General features: G+C 50.1%; 1 annotated feature.

The window, feature by feature from the left end:
- Positions 8,661-9,161: an enhancer, noted in NCBI's record as "H3K4me1 hESC enhancer chr16:47025988-47026488 (GRCh37/hg19 assembly coordinates)". NCBI's record gives its function as "activates a minimal SCP1, AML or CMV promoter by ChIP-STARR-seq in naive H9 embryonic stem cells {active_cell/tissue: H9 hESC(naive)}" and the evidence as "EXISTENCE:reporter gene assay evidence [ECO:0000049][PMID:30033119]".

Here is a 9,842-nt window from a genome sequence, read left to right as displayed (position 1 = left end):
TAGGACAATAGTGGAGGGAAAGTCAGCAGATAAACAAGTGAACAAAGGTCTCTGGTTTTCCTAGGCAGAGGACCCTGTGGCCTTCCCAGTTTGTGTCCCTGGGTACTTGAGATTAGGGAGTGGTGATGACTCTTAATGAGCATGCTGCCTTCAAGCATCTGTTTAACAAAGCACATCTTGCACCGCCCTTAATCCATTTAACTCTGAGTGGACACAGCACATGTTTCAGAGAGCACAGGGTTGGGGGTAAGGTCACAAGATCAACAGGCTCCCAAGGCAGAAAAATTTTTCTTAGTACAGAACAAAATGAAAAGTCTCCCATGTCTACTTCTTTCTACACAGACACGGCAACCATCCGATTTCTCAATCTTTTCCCCACCTTTCCCCCCTTTCTATTCCACAAAGCCGCCATTGTCATCCTGGCCCATTCTCAATGAGCTGTTGGGCACACCTCCCAGACGGGGTGGTGGCCGGGCAGAGGGGCTCCTCACTTCCCAGTAGGGGCGGCCGGGCAGAGGCACCCCTCACCTCCCGGACGGGGTGGCTGGCCGGGTGGGGGGCTGACCCCCCCACCTCCCTCCCGGACGGGGCGGCTGGCCGACCCCCCCACCTCCCTCCCGGACGGGGCAGCTGGCCGGGCAGAGGGGCTCCTCACTTCCCAGTATGGGCGGCCGGGCAGAGGCGCCCCTCACCTCCCGGATGGGGCGGCTGGCGGGGCGGGGGGCTGACCCCCCCACCTCCCTCCCGGACTGGGCGGCTGGCCAGGCGGGGGGCTGACCCCCCCACCTCCCTCCCGGACGGGGCGGCTGGCTGGGCAGAGGGGCTCCTCACTTCCCAGTAGGGGCAGCCGGGCAGAGGCGCCCCTCACCTCCCGGACAGGGCGGCTGGCCAGGCGGGGGGCTGACCCCCCCCACCTCCCTCCCGGACGGGGTGGCTGCCGGGCAGAGATGCTCCTCACTTCCCAGACGGGGTGGCTGCCGGGCAGAGAGGCTCCTCACTTCTCAGACGGGGCGGCTGCCGGGCGAGGGTCTCCTCACTTCTCAGACGGGGCAGCCGGGCAGAGACGCTCCTCACCTCCCAGACGGGGTGGCGGCTGGGCAGAGGCGCTCCTCACATCCCAGACGGGGCGGCGGGGCAGAGGCGCTCCCCACATCCCAGACGATGGGTGGCCGGGCAGAGACGCTCCTCACTTCCTAGATGTGATGGCGGCCGGGAAGAGGCGCTCCTCACTTCCCAGATGGGATGGCGGCCGGGCAGAGACGCTCCTCACTTTCCAGACTGGGCAGCCAGGCAGAGGGGCTCCTCACATCCCAGACGATGGGCGGCCAGGCAGAGACGCTCCTCACTTCCCAGACGGGGTGGCGGCCGGGCAGAGGCTGCAATCTCGGCACTTTGGGAGGCCAAGGCAGGCGGCTGGGAGGTGGAGGTTGTAGCGAGCCGAGATCACGCCACTGCACTCCAGCCTGGGCGCCATTGAGCACTGAGTGAACCAGACTCCGTCTGCAATCCCGGCACCTTGGGAGGCCGAGGCTGGCGGATCACTCGCAGTTAGGAGCTGGAGACCAGCCCGGCCAACACAGCGAAACCCCGTCTCCACCAAAAAAATACGAAAACCAGTCAGGCGTGGCGGCGCGCGCCTGCAATTGCAGGCACTCCACAGGCTGAGGCAGGAGAATCAGGCAGGGAGGTTGCAGTGAGCCGAGATGGCAGCAGTATAGTCCAGCTTCGGCTCGGCATGAGAGGGAGACCATGGGGAGAGGGAGACCATGGGGAGAGGGAGAAGGAGAGGGCCATTTATTTTTTATTTTTCTGAGACAGAGTCTTACTCTGTCACCCAGTCTGGAGTGCAGTGGCATGATCTCGGCTCGTTGCAACCTCTGCTTCCCGGGTTCAAGCCATTCTCCGGCCTCAGCTTCCTGCATAGCTAGCTGGGTCTATAGGCTCACACCACCATGCCCAGCAGCTAATATTTGTATTTTTAGTAGAGATGGGGTTTCACCATGTTGACCAGTCTGGTCTTGAACTCCTGTCCTCAAGTGCTCCCCCTGCCTTGGCCTCCTAAAGTGCTGGGATTACAGGTGTGAGTCACTGCGCCTGGCCTACTTTTATAATTTTTTATACAGTTTTTTGTTGTTGGTTCAGACAAGATCTGACTCTGTCATCCAGGCTAGACCTCCTGGGCTCAAGTGATCATCCTTCTTCAGCCTCCCAAGTAGCTGGGACTACGGGTGTGTGCCACCACACCTGCTAATTTTTCTGATTTTTAGTAAAGATGAGGTCTCACTATGTTGTCAGGCTGGCCTTGAACTCCTGAGCTCAAGCTCGGCCTACCAAAATGCTAGGATTACAGGCATGAGCCACTGTACCCAGGCCATAGTTTATATATGTGTGTGTGTGTATATATATGTATGTATATATATATATATATATTTTTTTTTTTTTTCTTTTTTTTGAGACAGAGTCTTGTTCTGTCGTCCAGGCTGGAGTGCAGTACAATGATCATAGCTCACTTCAGTTTCCTGGGCTCAAGTGATCCTCCCACCTCAGCCTCTCAAGTACATAGGATTACAGGCATGAGCCACCACACTTTAACTGATACATTCTTATAGACCGACTTTCATTTTGACAAACATTGCTAAACCAAATTTTTTGTTTTTGAAACAGAATCTTGCTCTGCCCCCCAAGGCTGGAGTGCAGTAGCACGATCTTGGCTCACTGCAACCTCCATCTCCTGGGTTCAAGTGATTCTTGTGCCTCAGCCTCCTGAGTAGCTGGGATTACAGGCACCCGCCACTACAGCCGGCTAAGATTTTAGTAGAGACCGATTTTCACCATGTTGGCCAGGCTGGTTTTGAACTGCTGACCTCAAGTGATCTGCCTGCCTCAGCCTCCCAAAGTGCTAGGATTACATGCTAAGCCTATTTTTAAATAATCTCTTTAGTGTATCGAGTTGGCTATATTGCCACAATAATTCAACTTCAGACTTGCAACCAACATCCAGAATCACCAGACTCATGCGGGTCACATTCTGGAGCTTATGGAATCCAGAGGATGTTTCATGCAAACAACATGCATCAAACCCAGCTAGTGAACTTTTAAAAGCCTTTCAAAATACTTTAATAGTGGAGGTGCATATGGCAAAACACACGCAATCGCCTGAATGTCTGTGTCCCACCCAAACTCATATGTTGAAACCTAATCACCAATGCAATAGTATTAGGAGGTGGGGCCTTTGGGAGGTGATGAGGTCATAAAGGCTCTGCTCTCATTAATGGGATTCATGCCCTTTTATAAAAGAGGTTTGAGAACTGTTTGTTGCTTCCATTATGTGAGAGCACATAAAAGCCACCATCTAGGAGAAACTAGCCCTCACCAGACACCAAATCTGCCAGCACCTTGACCTTGGACTTCCGAGCCTCTAGGGCTGAGATTACATTTCTATTGTTTATAAATTATCCAGTCTATGACTGGGCATGGTGGCTCATGCCTGCAATCCCAGCTTTTTGGGAGACCGAGGCAGGTGGATCATCTGAGGTCAGGAGTTCAAGACCAGCCTGGCCAACGTGGCGAAACCCCATCTCTACTAAAAACACACACACACAAAATTAGCCAGGCATGGTAGTGCACACCTGTAGTCCCAGCTACTCGGGAGGCTGAGGCAGGAGAATCTCTTGAACCCGGGAGGTGAGGTTGCAGTGAGCCGAGATCGGGCCACTGCACTCCAGCCTGGGTGGCAGAGCAAGACTCCGTCTCAAGAAAAATAAAAATAAAAAATAAATTACCCAGTCTAAAGTATCTTGTTATAGCAACCCAAACAGACTAAGACAATATAGGTATAATATAAAGAATATAATGCCTTTAACAGACTAAATTATATTTGTGTGCACAAGCATTCTTGTGTACATGGAGAAAGGTCAGAAGGATACACACCAAACTGCTGAAAGTAGTTATCTCAGGAATTAGTCACAATATGATAAGAAGCTGGAGGCAGAGGCCAGGGAGTGGGGAAGAGGGAACTTCCACTTTTAGGATTATTTATTTATTTATTTGAGACAAGGTCTTGTTCTGTCATTGAGGTTGGAGTATAGTTGTGCAATCTCAGCTCACCACATCCTTGACTTCCCAGACTCAGGTGATTCTCCCCTCCCAAGTAGCTGGGACTACAGGCATGCACCACCACACCTAGCTAATTTTTTGTATTTCTTATAGAGACGAGATCTCACCATGTTGCCCAGGCTGGTCTCGAACTCCTGGACTCAAGTGATCCTCCTCCCTCAGCCTCCCAAAGTGCTGGGATTACAGGTGTGAGCCACTGCACCCAGCCAGAGCTCTAAAAATTTTGTACTATTTGAATTATTTACAACAATACTATAATTTATAATATTTGTGTATTATTTGTTAAAAGGCAAAAAGTATGAATAATGTTCATTGTTTACAATCCTTTGAATCAAAACAGTCTTCTAATGTCTACTCTAACTTTCTAGTCTGGAAATGCATTCCTTTCTTCCACATAGGTCCTGAATTGAAGCCAGGGTCATGCAGATTTGTGATATTTTTATGTTGCTTGTTTTGTTTTGTAAGAAAGAGTCTGACTTCACTTTCTGTGTTTGGCTGCTGCTATCTTTTAAGGTTTTCCCCTCTTACCCCACATCTGAGCAAGCTAAGAAAGCAGGTCCTCCCTCCCTTGGTTCAAACACCACAGGGAGACACCCTGGCCCCACTCCATAACCATTAGAAAAACCCCAAGCCCCGCCTCCTGCCTCTGATCTCTCAGGTCATTTGCAGACCATCTTGGGAAGCCTGCCCTGCTCTCTCCAGAAACACTTACTATGTGAGCAATAAAATGTTCATACCCTCTTGGGGTGTGTGTGAGTGTGTGTGTGTGTGTGTGTGTGTGCGCGCGTGATGTCATCAGTCATGATATCCAAAACAAATTTAGGGTAGGGGTCTGTTCTGCCTTTTTGAAATTGCCACATGTTTTAAGGCCAATTTCCTATACATCTAAAAGAAAAAACAAACTCGTGTTTCCTCTCTATTCTACTACCATTCCCAACACTTCCAGAATTTCAATTCCAATACCAGTTGTGTGCTGGTTTTCCCATCCCAACCAGTTGCCCAACTCTCTGGACACAGGTGACCGAGGATACAATTATGACCCCAACTACCTGCACTTAGCAGATCCCATGGGGTAAGGGCTCAGTCCCACAAGACTGCCCTCACTTACAACATCAGTTCCCAGTTACCCACACTTCTGTCCAATTTGGCTACAAATCAGAGATTCGCAACAACCCCTCCTCGAGTTTTATCATTTGCTATGATGACATGATCATAGCTCACTGCAGCCTCCTGGGCTCAAGCGATCTTCCCAACTCAGCCTCCCGAGTAGCTGGGACTACAGGTGCCTGTTACCATACCCAGCTAATTTTTTTGTAGACATGGCATCTCACTTTGTTGCCCAGGCTGGTCTCGAACTCCTGGCCTCAAGTGATGCACCCACCTGTGCCTCCCAAAGTGCTGGGATTACAGGTGTGAGCCAGTAACCCCAGTTGACACACGTATGTAATGTTTACTGGTTTATTATAAAGGATATGACAAAGGACACAGAGGACCAGCCAGCTGAAGAGGTACAGGGGACGAGGTCCAGAAGGGTCCGGGGCGCAGGAGCTTCTGTCCCGGTGGAGTTGCTATGCACCACCTTCCCAGAACTTGGATGTGTTCACTGACAAGGAACTCTCTAAACCCTGTTTTACCCTTTGAGACTGGCTTCTGTCCATACATAAAAACAGTATGTTTTTACTTTCATAATGCACTTTGGATTCACTCATGCTGTGTCAGTAGTTGTTGTTGTTTTATTGTTGAGCAGTATTCTATAGTATGGTTGTGCCATAGTCAGTTTAACCATTCATCTGTTAAAGTCCTTTGGGGTATTTATGGAGGCTTCATTGCATAGGCATGATTGATTAAATCACTGGCCATTGGTGGTCAACTTTCATCCCCCTCCCCTCTACAGAGATGGGGATGCTGAAAGTTCCCACACCCTAATCACATGGTTGGTTCCCTGAACACCAGCCCCAATGTTGAGGCTCTCCAGGAACTTCAGGCCACCAGTCATCTCATTAGCATACAAAGGCCCTTCTCACTTTAGAGATTCCAAGGGTTTCAGGAGCAGTGTGCCAGGAAAGGTGGGCAGAGACCAAATATTTGTTCCTTATTAATTATGTCACACACCAATTGCTGGTTTTTTTAAAAAAGACATATAGGCCAGGTGCGGTGGCTCATGTCTGTAATCCCAGCACTTTGGGAGGCCAAGGCGGGAAGATACCTGAGGTCAGGAGTTCAAGACCAGACCAGGAGTTCAAGACCAACATGGTGAAACCCCGTCTCTACTAAAAAATTACAAAAATTAGCTGGGCATGTTAGCAGGTGCCTGTAATCCCAGCTACTCAGGAGGCTGAGGCAGGAGAATCACTTGAACCCAGAGGCAGAGGTTGCAGTGAGCCGAGATCGCACCGTTGCACTCCAGCCTGGGTGACAGAGTGAGACTCTGTCTCAAAAAAAAAAAAAATTGACTCCTTTGGTATACAGTTCTATACATTCCAAAGCAGGCACAGATTCATGTCAGCACAATAGCAATCGAGATGTGGAAAGGTCCATCACCCCCCAAATTCCCTCAGGCTGCCCCTTTGTAGCCAAACCCTCCCCGCCACCTAACCACTGCCAAACACTGATCCGCCCTTCATCCCTATACTGTTGCCTTTCCAGAATAACATATAAATGGAATTATGCAGTATTTAACCCTTTGAGACTGGCTTTCAGTAAAGAAAAACAGCACGTTTTTACTTTCATAATGCATTTCCGATTCACTCACGCTGTGTGTGTCAGCAGGTTGTTTTTATTGTTGAGCAGTATTCTATTTTATGGTTGTGCCACAGTTCGCTTATTCATTCATCTGTTAAAGGACATGTGGATTATTTCCAGTTTCAAGCAGTTATGTTAGAAACACTTGTATTTGCTGTTTAAACAATAAACTTTTTTTAAAGAGATCGGAGTCTCACTATGTTGCCCAAGCTAATCTCAAACTCCTAACCTTGAGCAATCCTCTTGCCTTGACCTCCCGAAGTGCTTTGGGATTCCAGATGTGAGCCACAGCACCCAGCCATAAGATATCAACTTCTATAAGCACCTGTGTTACCAGTTGAGGGTGTCCAGGTTCTTGGCGTTTTGAAGAAAGAATTGGACAAAACATATAAACAAAGCAAGGAAATAATAAAGCAACAAAAGCAGAGACTTATTGAAAATAAAAGCACACTCCACAGGGTGGGAGCGGCCCGAGCAAGCGGCTCAAGGGCCCAGTTACAGAGTTTTCTGAGGTTTAAATACCCTCTACAGGTTTCCATTGGTTACTATGTAAATGAAGAAGATGAAGTTACAAAGTCATTTACTCTGTGCCCGCCCTATTTAAATGAAGAGGATTTAAATGAAGAGGAAGCCATTATCCAAAGGGTTTGTACCATTTTGCACTTTCACCAGCAATGTATGAGAGTTCTAGTTGGACCATATCCTTGCCAGCACTTGGTGTTGTCACTCTTTTTATTTTATTTTATTTCATTTTATTTTTGAGACTGGGTCTTACTCTGTCACCCAGGCCGGAGTGCAGTGGCATGACCACAGCTCACTGCGGCCTCAACCTCCTAGGCTCAAGTGATCCTCCCACCTCAGCTCCCCGAGCAGCTGGGACTACAGGTACATCCACCAGGCCTGGCTAATTTTTGTATTTTTAGTAGAGACAGGGTCTTGCTGTGTTGCCCAGCCTGGTCTCAAACTCCTGGACTCAAGCAATCCTCCTGCCTCAGCCTCTTAAAGTGCTAGGATTACAGGCGTGAGCCACCATGTCTGGCCAAGGTGTTGTCACTCTTTTACCTTTTTTGTTTTGGGGGATTTCTTGGGAGACGGTTTTGGTTTTGGTGTGTACTGGTATCTCGTGGTTTTAACTTGTATTTTTCTATTTTTTTCTTTCTTCTTTTTTTTTTTTTTTTGAGACAGGATATCACTCTGTTGCCCAGGCTGGAGTGCAGTGGTGTAATCAAGGCATATTGCAGCCTTGACTTCAGCCTCAGGTGATCCTCCCACCTCAGTCTCTCAAGTAGCTGGGATTACAGGGGTACACCACCACACTTGGCTTTTTTTTTTTTTTGTACAGACAGGGTTTCGCCATTTTGCCCAGGCTGGTCTCCAACTCTTGGGCTCAAGTGATTCACTTGCTTTGGCCTCCCAAAGTGCTAGTGATGGCAGTAGCTGCTGCCATCACGCTGGCTGCAGCAGGAAGGCATAGCTGGGGCTGCACACTCCATGGAGCCTGTGGGAGCCCCACCCCTTCTAAGGTGTAGTGGGAGCTCGCTGGGTGCGGCTGCAGGCACCCATAGGGAGGCTGCAGACCCAGGCCTCCTGCTCTACTGAGCAGGCAGGAATCCCACACTCCTGGGTGGGGCTACAGCCACCCAAACTATGGCTGTGGATCCGAGCCTCCCTGTGCTCTTGGAGGGGGCCAGGAGCATGCAGGGTCTACCCTCCTCTGTGCAGCTGCAATGCCTGACCCTCGGCTGCAGACCTGTGCCTCCCACTCCACAGAGCAGGCAGGAGCCGGGGAAAAGCAGGAATCCCCCCCACTTCCACGTTGGTGGGCGGGAGCTCCCAGGGTGTAGCTGCGGCCACCGTCCCAGCTGCAGGACCGGGGAGTCTCTGCAGCCTGCACCCTCGGGCTGGGAAGGCCCCCTATCCGCTTCTCTGCAGGTTTGGGCTGTCTGCTTCCACTGCCTGGTCCCTTTCCTTTTCGGCACCTGCTCTGATCAGGGAGTTGGGTTGGGTTGGGTTGGAGCCCTGAATAGCAGCGGCAGGCCTGGGTGGAAGGGGGTGGATCCCAGGTAAGGCCCCATCTTCAGACTAGGGAGGGCCTGAAGGTTGGGGGCTGGGCTGCCAGTCCAGCTGACCAGAGTGGGGACTCTGCGTGCCTCTTCTGGGCCCGCCCATGGCCAACCATGGACCAATCAGCATGCACTTCCTACCCTCTGAGGTCCATAAAAGCCCTGGGCTCAGCCAAGAGCAGGGCAGAGAAGGGCCAGCAGAGGAAGAGAAAGGAGAGGAGTACCCTATCTGCTGAGAGCTGTAGAGCAGACCTGCCGTCAGAGAGTAGCCGCTCTCTCTAGGGCCTGCTGCAGAGAGGAGCTACTTTCTCTGCTGAGAGCTGCAGAGATGACCTGCCAGCAGAGAGGAGCCACTCTTTCCAGGGTCCTCTCTCTGCTGAGAACTGCACTGAGACAACCACTTGCAGAGAGGAGCTACCCTCTCCAGGGCCTCCTCCCTGCTGAGAACTGAACACTCCACAGATGATCTACCTACAGAGAGGAGCTGTATACACTGCGGGTCTCCTCTGAGCTGTTATAATACTTAATAAAGTTCATCTTGTTCACTCTTCACTTGTCTGTGTACCTCATTCTTTCTGGAAACCTGACCACCAAAGCCAAAATCAACACCCTAAACTGACACCCCAAAGATCCTGAAACACTGGATATGAGGCATGAGCCATCAAGCCCAGTCTTGTATCTCTCTAATGACAAAGGATGTAAGCATCTTTTTATGCACTTATTTGGACATCCGTATACTCTCTCTGGTTAAGGATCTGTTCAAATTTTTTACCCATTTTTAATTGGGTTATTTGTGTTCTTGTTTGTTAATTAGAGGTTTTTATATATTTCGATGCAAGTTCTCCAGAGATTTTGCCTTTTGAAATGGGAAGAAATCTAAAGTCAAGAGCTTTGGGAAAGGGATGGTAGTTCGAAATAAAT

Source organism: Homo sapiens, chromosome 16, assembly GCF_000001405.40.
Source record: "Homo sapiens chromosome 16, GRCh38.p14 Primary Assembly".
NCBI lineage: Eukaryota > Metazoa > Chordata > Mammalia > Primates > Hominidae > Homo > Homo sapiens.
Note: the sequence above shows the minus strand (reverse complement) of the source record. Positions and strands in the feature narration are given on the sequence as shown.